At 40.4% G+C, this 15,114-nt stretch overlaps 1 protein-coding gene across 7 annotated transcripts in view, besides 1 other annotated feature; it reads left to right on the plus strand.

Annotated features, from left to right (window-relative positions):
• The window catches only part of TENM3 (teneurin transmembrane protein 3), a 1,355,412-nt gene that overhangs the window by 339,473 nt on the left and 1,000,825 nt on the right, over positions 1-15,114 (plus strand). The gene's annotated exons all lie outside the window — the stretch shown is intronic.
• Positions 9,021-10,220: an enhancer, noted in NCBI's record as "BRD4-independent group 4 enhancer chr4:182717259-182718458 (GRCh37/hg19 assembly coordinates)". NCBI's record gives its function as "activates an origin of replication core promoter dependent on BRD2, P300/CBP, MED14 and CDK7 cofactors, and independent of BRD4, by STARR-seq in HCT116 cells {active_cell/tissue: HCT116}" and the evidence as "EXISTENCE:reporter gene assay evidence [ECO:0000049][PMID:35650434]".

The following is a 15,114-nucleotide window of genomic DNA, read 5'->3' on the forward strand; positions in this document are numbered from 1 at the left end:
AGGTTTTAAGAAAAACCTTAATAACTGAATTCCCAGCCATGACTGGAAAGGAGGCCGGACACGCCTTGTTCCACCCCCTCTGGTTTGAATTTTCGGCACAATAAGACGAGCATCAATCTTAAAATAGAGATCATAAGACTGACAGAACAGACTCTTTGTGGCAATTAAGATACCAAATGATAAACAAGACCTAAGGCCATGCCAGGCAAGGGCTGAGTTTCACCTGCAGGCCATCATCATCTTGCTACATCCATCTTTTTTTTTTTTTTTTGAGACGGAGTCTCACTCTGTCGCCCAGGCTGGAGGGCAATGGCGCCATCTCAGCTTACTGCAACCTCCACCTCCTTGGTTCAAGCAATTCCCCTGCTCAGCCTACTGAGTAGCTGGAATTACAGGTGCACGCCACCACGCCCAGCTAATTTTTTCATATTTTTAGTAGAGATGAGGTTTCACCATGTTGGCCAGACTGGTCTCAAACTCCTGACCTCAAGTGATCTGCCCACCTCTGCCTCCCAAAGTGCTGAGATTACAAGCGTGAGCCACTGCACCTGGCCCATCCATCCTTAACATTCCTTTCTGCTGATTCCAAATTTTAGACCGAGCCTCACTATTTTAACCAATTGCAAATTAAAGACTCTCTGAATCCACCTATTACCTATAAACCCTGTTTCAAGATGTCCTGCCTTTTTGGGCCGAACCAACGTATACCTTCCATGTGTTGATTTGTCTTTGCTTGTAACTCCTGCCTTCTTAAAATGTGTAAAACCTAGCCAAGCGTGGTAGTGGGCAACTGTAGTCCGCACAACTCAGGAGACTGAGGCGGAACTTGAGCCCCGGAGGTCAAGGCTGCAGTAAGCTGAGATTGCACCACTATACTCCACAGAGTGAGACCTTGTGTCAAAAATCATAATAATATACAAAGCCAAACTGTAATCCAGCCACTTCGAGATCACTTACCCACGGCTTCTTGGGTTTGTGTTTTTTCTGGGCCATGGTCACTCATCATATTGGTTCAGAATAAACCTCTGTAAAATATTTTATGGAGTTTGGTTTCACTGTTAACACCCTTAAATTAAAGAAAGCACTAACTGGGGAGCTGCTTAGATCTAAATCTGAATCTTTATCACCCTCTGATGATGATTATCATCATCCCTTATTTGCCTCTGATCTTGGATGATTATAATTAGTAATATATGTTAAGTACCTAGCACTGTGCTGGGGGACTAAGAACAGAACGTCATGAATGGTAGATCTTTTATTTTCTTCCTCATGATCAAGGTAACCACTTAAATAGCTCTTGCTAGATGCCAAGCACTTTACATCTGCTCCTTATTAAATCTTCACAACAACCTGATGAGATAGGTTCCCATTAATACTCCAATTTTCTGAATGGGAAATTTGCCCGAGGAAACACAGTCAGTCAGCAGAGGAGCCAGGATGGAAACCCACACAATGTAGCCCACCGCTGTGCTTTCTAGGTACAGTGCGGAAAGTGTCTCCCATCTTCTCATTTTTCTTTTTGTTTTTTTAGAGACAGGGTCTCGCTCTGTGGCCCAGGCTGGAGTGCAGTAGTATAATCAGAGCTCTCTGAAGCCTGGAATCGCTCGAGCGATCTTCCTGCCTCAGCTGCCAAAGTTGTTAGGACTATACTACAGGCACACAGCACCATGCTTAGCTAATTTTTTAACTTTTTGTAGAAAGGAGGTTTCACTATGTTGCCCAGGCTGGTCTCAAGCTGTTGGCCTCAAGCAATCCCTCCGTCTCAGCTTTCCAAAGTGTTAAGATTACAGGCATGAGCCACTGCGCCTAGCCCTATCTTTTAATTTTGACTATCCCATACCTGCATAGCATGTAGCACAATTAAAGCCACCAGCTCCATTTCTGGCAAACTCCAACCATTGCTAATTTTGGTGTTTAGGTGTAGAGGTAAGGCCTGAACGCTGTTGGGATACTGGCTAGGTGGTATGGTATAATGTGAAATATGAAACTGACATGCTAGCCACTGCACTAAGACGGCGATTAATATGATATACATTTGGTCTTTGCCCCAGTTCTTGTCACAGAGCTTCTAAAGTCCTTAGAATTTTCTGAGTGATAGGAGTGTCTTCTGTTATTTATAAAGAGCCCCCTTTATTTATTTTATTTTATTTTATTTTATTTTATTTTATTTTATTTATTTTATTTTTTTGAGATGGAGTCTTACTCTGTCACCCAGGCTAGAGTGCAATGGCATGATCTCGGCTCACTGCAACCTCCACCTCCCAGGGTTCAAGCAATTCTCCTGCCTCAGCCTCCTGAGTAGCTGGGATTACAGGCATGCACCACCATGCCCAGCTAATTTTTGTATTTTTAGTAGAGATGGGGTTTTGCCATGTTGGCCAGGCTGGTCTTGAACTCCTGACCTCACGTTATCCACCCACTTCAGCCTCCCAAAGTGCTGTGATTACAGGCGTGAGCCACTAGAGCCCCCTTTGTAACACCTAAGTTTATGCTCATGAAGGACTTAGACTGGGCACCCCAGCTAGACTCAGATGGAGCTGGTGACCAGAAAGACCAAGCAGTTATAGGATTTCAGGGTTGGGATTTTCAGCCCCGCCTACCAACCTCCAGGAGATGCAGGGTCAGGGCTGGAGATCAAGCTCTATACAAAGTCTTAGACAAGGAGATGTGCTTTTCAGTTGCTGAACAGGAGGAGGAGGTGTGTTTGCTAAGCTTCCAGATTGCTGAAAACATGGAAGTGCTGGGAGGATGGCATGCCACCCCCTCCCCGGTACCATGTCCTATGCCCTACACATCCCTTCACCTGGCACATCATCCATATCCTTTGTAGTATTCTTCATTATGCCAAACCAGTCAATTTAAGTCTTTCCCTGAGTTCTGTGAGCCAGCCCAGCAAATTAATGGAACCTAAGAATGGGGTCATGGAGTGCAATTTACAGTGGGTGGGTCAGAAGTGTATGTGACAATCTACTTCTGAAAGTTGGCATCAGAAGTAGAGTGCAGTCTTGTGGGACTGAGCCCCACCTGAGCACTCTGACTCTACCTCAGGTAGATAGTGTCAGAATTGAATTGAAGTATGGCATAGCCTGCTGGTGGCCCCCGGAGGATTGCTTGGTGTGTGTGGAAAGACCCCCACACATCTGGCCACACGTGGGTTCTGCACTGAGTGTGGCAGTAGAGAGAGAAAAAAATTGTTTTTTCTTTTAGAGATGGTATAAGAAGTGGCTCACTTTTCTCCAATCACACAAAAACAATTTGATTTGCTGAACACTAAATAGAACATTGTTCCTGAAAACTTTTTCAAGATTGTGTCTGCAATGTGCTGCTTTTTAAAAGCGAACTCTAACAACAATTAATTGCACTGTGTATATTATCAGTTATCATTATTTGTTAAGTTTCTTGCATGGTTAGAGTCAAGAAGTCCAAGCTGCAAAGTGTAACTTCTGTCTTTAAGAATAGAAAAGAGAATAGAAATAGAAAAGTTACTGCTTATGAGTGGAAAAAAACAAAAAATAAAGTGAAGATAATGGAAGGAAACCTATCCATCCCATCACAGACATTTCAATCTAGACCCAGAAGAATAAGCCTTTCTTAGTTAATTCTCAACATTTTTTAGGCAAAGACAAGTAAACATTCAGAGGCGTTCAGTACCAAGAAATGGCTCTAAACTGGACTGTATTCTTCTTAATATCTGCTTACGGAGAGAGGAAATGGAGGCCATCTTTGGCCCTCACTGAGAATCTTCCTCAATGGAAATTTCTGGTGATATTTAGAGGCAAGTTACCTCTGCTTACCTTTGCCTGCTTACTTTGTGCCAGATCCCCTACTTAGTCCTAGGGTTCAAGTACAAAGAAACCTGGCCCCCATACTCCAGCAACTGAGAGTCTAGTTGTGGGCAAAACTGTGTAAAAGATGATTACGGGCCATATGATGAATGCTTTCATGGGGCATGTACAGAATACACTGGAAACCCTCAGAAAGGAGTGAACCAGTTTCCCTGAGAACGGAGTCAAACTGGAATGAGCTGTTTTTAAAGCTCAGGGGCTAGATAATTTGCTTGGTGGGCAAATTGCCCCGGACCAGGCGATGTCTTCACGATAGTGGTCCGGAGAAACACGGGCCGTGCAGCTACTCAAGTTCTGGTCTCTTTTGTGGGGGGTATTTATTGTTTCGATTGCCACATTTATATGATACATTTTATGACTTCTTTAAATGCCTCTTATTTTTCCTACAATGAAATAATAGACTTTAAATCATGTTTGAAGTCTCTAGCCTGCTTTGCTTTAATCATAACAACAAAAATTAAATTTTACACAAAAATACAAATCATAATTTTATAAAATGAAACATGAAGATAAAGTTGAACATCCGGGGTAGTGTTTGTAAACAAAGTGTGAAGAATTTTATTTATTGTGCTTTCTGGACATTTTGAGGATCAAATATAAATCTCAGGAAAGTAATATAAGAATAAAAGTAATTGGTAATTTTAGCCTACTCTTAACCCCAGATTCTTTTCACCAGTCCAGCACATTTTAAGAAATGAGAGACGAAACAGCATTCGGCAGTAAGGAACTGGTTACCATCAGAGCTATGTTGAATGTGAACGTGATTTTACTAATTAAGTCCTAAACAACTGATGCAGGTAACTGTGGTCCCTGCACTGGAGACCCTTATTATATCTCATATAAAATAGTTAATTGCTTCCAAATGAAGCTCAAATCAGACAGAGAAATGTCTACTTTGACTAGTACCAAAACATAAGTAGGCAACGGACACTGTGTTGTTTTTGCCTGACTCTGTGGATTCTCAAGAATATTCATTTATTTAATAGGCAAAATTAAGGCATGTGTCCTCCAGGGACAGCCACTCTTAGGACATGTGAACAGAAATGCAATTTTCTCTCTAATTTCTTTGATGGATTCAGTAGATTCCTATTAGTCTACATGATAAGTGTTTCTGAGTTTCCGACTGCATTTTGGCTTACCTATAATAAACCCATTCAAATAGTATCAAGTCTTCCTTTCAAAATAATCCAAATCCATTGACATTATATTAAATGATATTGTTGTAAGTGAAGTCACAATGTAACAATACAGCGTGATTTTTCTCTTAAAATTGTTAAGCTCAGGAGAATATCCTTAAGATTAACTTTCTTAGAAGAAAAATATCTCGACTGCTTGTAAATAGGAAAACATAAACATTCTTGTGTATTTTGAAGCTTTTATTTTGGCTCAAAAATGGAAGTTAAATTTTCATGAAAGTCATAGAATGTTATAAGGAAATTCTCTGAACAAATTCACAATTTACTGTTAAGCTCTTCATCATGAATTACGCTTAACTCAAAAGCAATATACCGGAAAAGAAGATAAAAACGTAAATAAGTCTACATTGTGGTATTAAACTAGGTCCTGTCAACATAGATTGATAGGGAAAAAAATACGTATTTTTTAGTATACAATTACGTTTGAAAATTTAATTGCTAATGGATTTCTGTATTCATATCAAGGTCAGATGGGCAATTATTTATGAGTAATCTGAAATCTCAAATAGCCTCTTCCAACAGGTTTTGTAACATCTATTTATTTTAGACATTTTGCCATTTCTAATGTTTCTCCCTCACAGTTTTTTTCCACAGCAGCAATGCAATACATTTTGTCAAATTTGCACTTGTTTTCAAAACCCTCCTTTATTTTACTGGAGAGCTTGCAATTAACCCACTTCTCCCTATTGAGCAGCATCTCTGTAATAACAGCTTTCCTGGCTGAGCTTTTGTTAGGGAGATTTTCAAATCAAGAGCCCATAAAGGTTGGAAAAAATCCAGTCATATTAAAGTTCAGCAAATCTCTTTCAAGGTCATAGCCCTTGAAGTTATAGACGGTTTTTTTTTTCCTGGAAAAGACTGCCAAGTCATTTTCCACATTAAAAAAATAAATTAAGACAAACACTGTTACCTGTTTTACCAAATGTTGAGAGAGACGCTAAGATTTTACTTCTTCCAATGAATTGACAAGGAAGAGATGTTCTGCTCTCCTTGCCCCTTTGAAGCTTGGTAGCAGGAAGGGTGAGACTTCTGTAAACTGCGCTAGACTCATTCATGCATCCAGGGCTGGCCGGCGATCCAGCTGCATGAAAGAGCTTAATAGTCAAAGGCCATGGTAATTCCCTCCATCTGCCTTTTCTTTCTTCTAAGGCAAAATCTTCACCTGGTGTTTTTGATTCATGTGTTCTAATTATGATGGCTGCCATCAGCAGCCCTGTGGGTGACACCACAAACTCGCTGAGCCCACAGAGCATGCTGAGGCTTGTTAAGCGACCATGTCAGCCTGATTTTAGGGCCCATTTTGCAGCTCTCCACAGGCCTATCTAAAAGCATCAGGAGTCTCAGTCTCGCAGGACAAGTGCATTGTCTTTCTAAATGTCTCTTCCTGATAAGCAAATCCAAATATGGTTCATTCACTGTGGCTTTGAAGGCACAGTAGGGAACTTGGCTTGCATGGTGGATACAACAAAATGCTTAATATTATCACTTGGTATAGAGCTAAAGAACTCAATTTCCAATTCCAAGATGAAAACCTTTGCTCCCCAGCTATGATCAAGAGTTTGAAATTTAAATCAGGAGTCTTGAAAGCTATTCTAACTCTCAAAAGGGCTGGCTTTCCCATACATACAAAGAAGAAAATGCTGTGCTTGCATGAGTGTCTGAATCAAGAAAAGCTCACATCGTTTTAGCAAATGTAATACTTGCCTCTTTCAATTGGAATGCTGTTGAGTATTTTTCAGTGTTTTCAGTTCATTTGTTTTATTGTATTTCCCATTATTTAGATTATGATTAGGGCTGGTCCTATAGTCCTTTTTTATTACTTTATATACCTCCTGTTGTTTTAGTGTTTCCACATTAATAACACCTGGCAACATCCAAAAACATTTTGATTTAAGATAAGTACAAAACAAGCATCAAAAACAAGCTTCGCAACATCTTTATCACTCCACTCCCTTTCTCTGTTATTATAGTTTACATATCTTAAGTCACTGTTTTTATTTTTCCCCCAGCTTTACTGAAGTATATTTGACAGATAAAAATTACATATTTTTATGGTGTACAATATATATATATACACACTGCAAAGTCACTACCACAGTAAAACTAATTAACATCTCCATCACGTCACATAGTTATCCTTGTGATTGTGTGTGTGTGTATGTGTGTGGTGAGAACAGTTAAGATCTGCTCTCTTGGCAAATTTCAAGTGTGCAATAGACTATTATTAACTGTAGTCACCACGCTGTGCATTAGATCTCCAGAAATTTATTCATTCTGTGCAACTGAAACTTTGCACAATTTGACCAACATCTTCCTACATGTCCCACATCCCAGCCCCTGGCAACCGCCCTTCTACTCTCTATTCTATGAATTTGACTTTTTTAGATTCCACATACAAGTGAGATCCTGCAGTATTTGTTTTTCTTTGCCTGGCTTATTTCACTTAACATACTGTCCTCCAGGTTCATTCATGTCTCAAATAATGGCATTTCCTTCTTTTTTAAGGCATTTCCTTCTTTTTTAAGGCTGAATAATATCCCTGTGTGTGTGTGTGTGTGTGTGTGTGTGTGTGTACAGCACTTTTTATTACTTTTATTATGTAGTATTTTGAAGAACATTTTAGTTCTGTCTAGGTCGGGTTGGATCCAAGAAATTTAGTGGATGTAAGAAAATCACACTTAGGATTCATTTCAGGAACTAAAACCTTAAATAATCTCCAGTAATTTGCAAGTGGTCTCAGGTTACTTCAGAGCACCTTTTTCACAGGCTGTGCTTCTCCACTCCACTCCAAATCCCAGCTGCATCAGTCCAGAAATTCACAGAAGAAATTCACCTACCAGTTTGCAAGGTAATTCGGATTGGGAAACTGTTCTATAGTTAACACCTACACTAACAATAGCCTACAATCCCTTGTATAGTTGGCTGTTCTGATAGTTTATTTAGGCAGAGTCATTTCTACTCTTGCATGCTTGCTGTAGGTTATTTCTATGTCTCTGAATATTCAGATTTGTGTTTTCGATGGATGTCTTTTGTCTTGGTCAGTTCAGGCTGCTATCACAAAAGTTGCCTACACTGAGTGGTTTAAATAACAGAAATTTATGTCTCACAGTTCTCCAGGCTGGGAAGCCCAGCATCAAGGTGCTGGCTGACATGGTTCTCTGTGAGGATCCCTTTCCTGGTGTACAGACAGACACCTTATTGGTGTATACTAACATGACAGAGACAGAGATCATCTCCCCTGTGTCTCTTCTTATAAAGGCACTAATCCTGTTCACAAGGGCCCCACCCTTATGACCTAATTACTCCCCAAAGGCCCCACCTCCTAATACAATCTTATTGGTTATTTGGGCTTCAATATATGAATTTCAGGGGATGTAAACATGCAGTCCATAGCAACTTTGGCCTAAATGAAGACTGATGTGATATGTTGCATTCAGTCAACTCTTTCAAGGTATGATCAATACCAGTTGCTGAACTACTGAGCTATCACCAAGTGGCTGATGTAATTTGGTTGTGCCAATGGTAAAAACAAATATTTTCCCAACTGATAACTCAAAAGACAATAATTGAGAAAAATATCAAGGTAATAAATAGCATGGCACATGGGAAAGGAAGAGAAGTTGGAGCTAAACCTGGAGAGGTAGCCAAGGTGCCAAAGAGGATATTATATGCCATGTAAAAATACCTTTACATGATGGGAATCCATGGGGAAGTATAACCTGGATATGACCTGGGTTAGATTTGTGTTTTAGATAGATGTCTCTGGTACCTAGGCAGAAAATGACTCCAATGGGCAAAGCACAGAAGCAGAGAGACTCAGTAGGGAGTCACTGTAGTATCCAGACAAGAAAGGCTAGAGGCCTGAGTATGGGAAGGAAAGGGGATGGAATATATCTGAGTATTTGGCAATTGATTGGATATGGGCTACAGAATAAACAGTGGCATCAGAAATGTCACAAATGTTTTATGGTTGTTGTAATGGGCTGCAGCTGCCAGCAACCAAGGTACAGAATCAAGGAGGAGGAGCGTAATAGTATTAAATATAACAGTTCAAACTTCTTATTGTCACCTATGTTCCTTATAGTCATCGATTCCTTCATTCATTCATCAAAAGTGTATTAGACAGCCACTAGGTCTCGGACCCAATCACAGCAAATCCGACAAGTGCCCTGTCCTCACTAGAGGGCACATTCATGAATTATACAAGAAGAAAGGGACACATACTGCTGGAAAAGCTCAAAGAAAAGTTTGTGATGTTCAGTGGGGGAATGGTTACTTTCAGCTGGGAGTTCAGCAGGAATAACCAATGAGATGGTCTTTGAGGATTCTGCCCTTGAAAGTGGGATAGCATTTAGGCATGTGGAGAGTGGCCTGAAGATCTTCAAGGCAGAGGGCGCAGCACAGATGGCCAGGGTTATGCCAGAGGCAGGGACATGAGCATGTGCACTAGAGGATGAGCCCCAGGAAGGGGAGGGGTGGGGCCCACACATGAGAGGCGAAGTAGAATTAATCAGCAGGATGACATCATTACCTGACCATGGGGGTGAGAGAGATGATCACCTCTGACACAGCCTAGACACTCAGCAGGAGCGAGTTCATGAAACAAGACTATGAGCAGTTTGGAACCCGTCCAGAACACTGACGTTGCATAAGGCGGACAACCTCAACTAAGAAATGTATCCTTCCTTCCAAAGGGTGGTGTTGCATCACCACGTTCATTTCATCCTACCCAGATATATGCATCCACTTTTACATCTCAGAAAATTCTTACGTCATGTCAGAGCAAGTCTAGAAACTGCCTTTTGTATTCTCGGGGAATGATTTTTGGACGTTGTGCTGTTTCCATGTTGTGGGTGAGTTTATTTCAGACGGCAAAGAGGGAGGCCCACAGGCCAGAGTGTGAGCCCCTCCCCAGTCCAGGGCCCATGTGGTGCCCAGTCCACAACGTTTTACTATCTCAAAATATGCTCCCTCCCCTTTTCTTTGTACATGGGGATTTTTCTTTGTAAAAGGGAGGGTTTTTTTTTTAATCTTTTTTCCTTTTTTTTTTAACTGTTCCCTTCCTCTCAATCCTAAAAGAAGTCTATGAAGCTTACCTTGCTACTGATAACGTGACCTCTTACTGCTCACCATGATCAACATGGCTTTCGGTATTGAACTGCAGGCAACAAAAAAGGGCCAATACATAATGGTGAAAGGGACACCTCAGGAGAACAGAGAAGGGGCCTTGGACTCCAGGTAGGGCTCCCGAGACCATTGTCTCCTTGCTCTCTGATCCAAGCTGACACACCTTCTCCTTCCTCTCCTTTTTCCTCTGGTTGTTTTTGATTTAGTATGGTAGGCTCTATCGGTATAACGAATTCAGTCCTTCAGCAAAACATATACATGAATGTGTATATATTTAACTCTAACGCTGCCCCATCTTTCCTCACTATGTTGTCTATAAGCCGTGACTTTGTATTTGATTCATAGGCATTAACAAGTAAAACTGGCAGAAGGACTTGAGCCCAAGAAAGAGGACACTTCATAGCTGAAGTGTCTGAATATGTGTTTCGACTCATCCCCATAGGCTTCGCAGTGATTATTTATTTTCAGTGAATGAGACTACTAAAAACTGGATGAAAATACGTTCTGTTATTGCCATGCATGGCTTTCTAATGTGGGGGCTTCTGCCTGGCACAACCTTAACGTCGCCTTGACAATAATGTGACAGGAAAAGAGGAAGGAACCTATGAGGCGATAACCCTACCTGTGTTTTCTGACTATGATAATAAATTTGGAACCAGCTGTCTCTATTTTCTCTGGTGACATTTATGGTTCAGGAATGAAGTGGGGGGAATGGATGATAGAATCTGCATTTTTCAGCAGTTCTCACTGTTCTATCTTTTATCATTATTTATTCTCTTTCTTGCCTATTTTTCTTCTTCTCTTGAAAAGGACATGTTAACGCATATTTCAAAATAAGTGTGTGTGTGTGTGTGTGTGTGTGTATAGTTTTGTCTTTTTTACTCTTAAGAATCAAACTCATAGAATTTACACACTGATAAGTACAAGAACTGAGTCTCAACCAACCTCTTATTTTACAAACGAGGGAACTGAGGCATAGCTAAGAGACGCATCTTGGGTCATACAAGTTGGAACCCAGCTTTCTTGCTTTCTTCCTTTTCTTTATTTTTTATTTATTTATTTATTTATTTTTTGAGATGGAGTCTTGCTCTGTCACCCAGGCTGAACTGCGGTGCTACAATCTCAGCTCACTGCAACCTCTGCCTGCTGTGTTCAAGTGATTATCCACCCTCAGACTCCCTAGTGGCTGGGAGCCCAGCTTTCTTGACTTTATATTGGGCTTCCGCTAGTACATCTGGGATAGCATCATGGTGCTTAGGAAAAGGCCCCTGTGAGTTCCACAGGAAAAGAAGACTCAATACCTTCTCTTCTAAAATTCTAAATGTCTTAAGGTAGATTCCTTTTCAACAGTCAAAAACCAATGCAGGCTGGTGTAACTGTTGTTTCAGATTGCTTCACGTATCTCTGGTTCCCAAGTAATGTTTTTTTATTACTTTGACTTTCATTTCCCTTCTTTATAGATTTGGGTTAGTATATATTATGTTGCCTTGTTGGGCTGTTATTATACATCAAAACTGGCATAAATCCAGAGGCAACAAATTAGAAATATTGACTTTTCTGCTGGGCTAATAAAAACGATGGTATGTGAGTTAACAAATGTAGTTTTAATTTTATAACAAATGTAACAGTGTGAGCCAGGGAGATGGCTGAAAATACCAGAAAAGGAAACCTTTCTAAATTGTAAGAACCAGAAAAAGAAGTGATGCATAAAGAAATGTCAGCCTGACTTTTAACAAGGGTAACCTCCTTAAAGCAAAATGTAGACGGCCGCTTATGCACTGTTCTCTATGGAAAAATAATGTATACATTGGAAGGCTCCCTTTTCCCACTAACAAATGTAATATCCTTAGAAACAATAATTCCTCAAGGGAGATGACATAACTGCATTACTGATTTCTCAGTTTTTGAGCAGCAGCAATTAGATAAACCTGAAACGAGTGGCTGTAATCCTCAAGGTTGGATCTGATTAATAAAGCGAGTGATAGCCTGCTGATTCTAAAATAAAAAGCTAAATAAATACATGTTGCCATTTTCAGCAATGAAGTAATAAGCAGTTTGCAGTAAATGTGATTGGCATAAAACAATGTAGAATATAATGTCAAATGCATTCAGGAAACAGCTATTGCTGTCAAATTTGCAAAATAGGATGGTGCTTCCACAAACGTATCTATAATTTAAAGCTACTGAAATAAGTTGGCGGATATGCCAACAAATTATTCAAGCCACATTTAAATTGTGTACCTAACTCCTCAATAGCATATTTATTTAATCAAAGCATGATCATTTCTTACAATTACTGTTATAAACTTTTATAAAATATACCAGAAAATAGCAGCAGACATGTATTACCTAAGTCATATAAGCACTGAGAACGCTGACACAGCTATTCAAAACTGCAAAGGAACAGAAAGAGGCTAGCGCATTAAGACACCGCCAAACACTTTCTTAGCAGGTAAATGCCTGGGATAATAATAGATGAGTACAAAGGAAAGTATGGGGAGGTTATTAAATTATACTGTAAGGATCTAAAGCTCTAGTGCGGCATCTTTGACTAGGTCTATACATTTTCCAGAAGAATCACAATACAATGTGCTCTGTTTGGGTGAACAAGTCGGAAGCAGCCTGTCTATTAGGAAGTGGGAATTCAAAAGCCCTCGGGAGCTAGGCAGATAATGCGGATGAGTAGAGTGGTCTGTGGAGACAGGCGAACTGGAAAGCGGTTGCCCAGAATAAGGTGGCTGATGGAGCCAATTATCGCTGTGCCAGAATGCAGACCCAGGATTGCCAGAGCTTCTGGTTCTTCAAAAAAGAGCCAGAAATTAAGATTTTCCTGTGAAGTACACATAACTGTCAGTGTTGCAACTGTTATTAAAAACAATAATGGTAATGAGGACTAGATTCAAGATGGGAGCCACGTGTTTGCAAACTCCTAACCGTGTAATGACCTAACCAGGATATCTGTGTATTCTACGTAGACTGAACCATGGTCACCAGATGAACAAATGGCCAAAACTATTCCGAAAACAATTATACTAAGAACAGCCACCCAACCAGAGTACACACTGGACATATGGGAATAAGAAATAAGAATTCCTAGGCCGGGAAAGGTGGCTCACACCTGTAATCCCAGCACTTTGGGAGGCCGAGGCAGGCGGATCACCTGAGGCCAGGAGTTCAAGACCAGCCTGACCAATATGGTGAAACCCTGTCTCTACTTAAAGTGCAAAAAATTAGCTGGGCATGGTGGCAGACACGTGGAATCCCAGCTACTCAGGAGGCTGAGGTGGAAGAACTGCTTGAACCCGGGAGGTGGAGGTTGCAGTGAGCCGAGATTGCACCACTGCACTCCAGCCTGGGCAACAGAGCAAGACTCCATCTCAAAAAAAGAATTCCTTACCTATAGAGGGAACAGTTCAGGTGACTTGCTCCTGGTTGTTCAGGTGCTTGACTCTTGTCCCTCACTTCCTTTTTCTGTAAAATGGAAATAATGGTAGTACCCACCTCTTAGGGTCATTGTGAGGACTAAATGAGTTATTTATATTAAGCACTGAGAACAGTACCTAGGCTAGAACAGGTACTTACTAACTGTAACCTGTTATTACTCTTACTATGAATAAAATGCCGGTGTATTTCTTGAATGTCAAAGGCAAGATGGCATTTCCAGAACGGGGCAACTCAGTGGAACAACATGAAAAATACCTGTTGCAGTATAACTGCTGGCAAAGAAAAAATAACAGCAAGATAGCCAAGTAATTGTGTTATGGCGAGTTGGGAAGCACCTGAGAGGGTAGAAGGAATAGTTCAAAGTTACAGTGAAGCACAGCTTCAAACAGCCCTCCTTTGGACAAGGAAGCAATTATCATGGTAGACAGGCTGGCTTGGCAAGCAGGCATTAGGCACTATCTGGTCATGTGTATGTGTGTGTCTGGGACTGAGGATTCTTGGCTTTTTTTGTGGACTTTTGGGAAGCTCATTTTTTCTGTTTTTTGTTTGTTTGCTTGTTTTCTCTAAGACTCTTTACACGTCTGAGAGACGGAGATGAACAGTGACAGGTTCTGCAAAACCAAGGAAGTCTATAGATGTGTGCAATAGGAAAAGTACTATTGTATTGCCTGCATTTATTTTCCAGCCATACTTCACAGACATAGCCCTGGCTACTGTTTTCAAGCACCGGTCTAAAAACTAAGAATACTCTCCAGCTCATTTCTCCAGGTGGTGAACCCGAGGAGGGTGGAGGGGGCCATGTAGAGGAGATCAAAAGAGATGTGTGTTATACTTTTATTAAAATTCATATCTATAAGCATTCGTATAAATCTGGGGTCTGCAAACTGCAGCCCTAAGGCTGGCTCATGGCTTGCTTTTGTAAGCCTGGTTTTTACATTTTTAAAGAATTGTAAAATATATATATATATATATATATATATATATATATATATATATATATGCAACAATGACCATATATGGCTCACAAAGCCTAAAATACTTACTACCTGGCCCTTTAGAGGAAAAGTTTGCTGACCCTTGAGAATGGTTTCTGCAGGTTTGTCATTTTCACTTCCTATTAGATTAAAAGGAGCATTGGTTTTCCCTTATAACTTGATGCAACTAAGCTATAATTTAGAGGCAAGTCACCATTCTTTTTTGAACTTTGTCCTTGTTCATATGTTATTTCTTTTTAACCAGGTGACAGAAAAATGCCCAAGCAGATTTTTTTTAAAATGTACCTTCTATTGTACCCTGTTGTCTTAAAGAAGATTCAGTTCAGTTATCCAAGTGAGACACTTTAGTTTTGATGGTATGTACATGCTGATTTACCACCAGGATGGCCGGTTCTTGCTTGGTTGTAAAATTATGGCACAAATACTTTTCATTGATCGCAGTTTAACAGCCAATCAAGGCACAGCTTCATCCCACGATTTCACTGTGCCTTTACAATTGAGAAGAAT

Source organism: Homo sapiens, chromosome 4, assembly GCF_000001405.40.
Source record: "Homo sapiens chromosome 4, GRCh38.p14 Primary Assembly".
Taxonomy (NCBI): domain Eukaryota; kingdom Metazoa; phylum Chordata; class Mammalia; order Primates; family Hominidae; genus Homo; species Homo sapiens.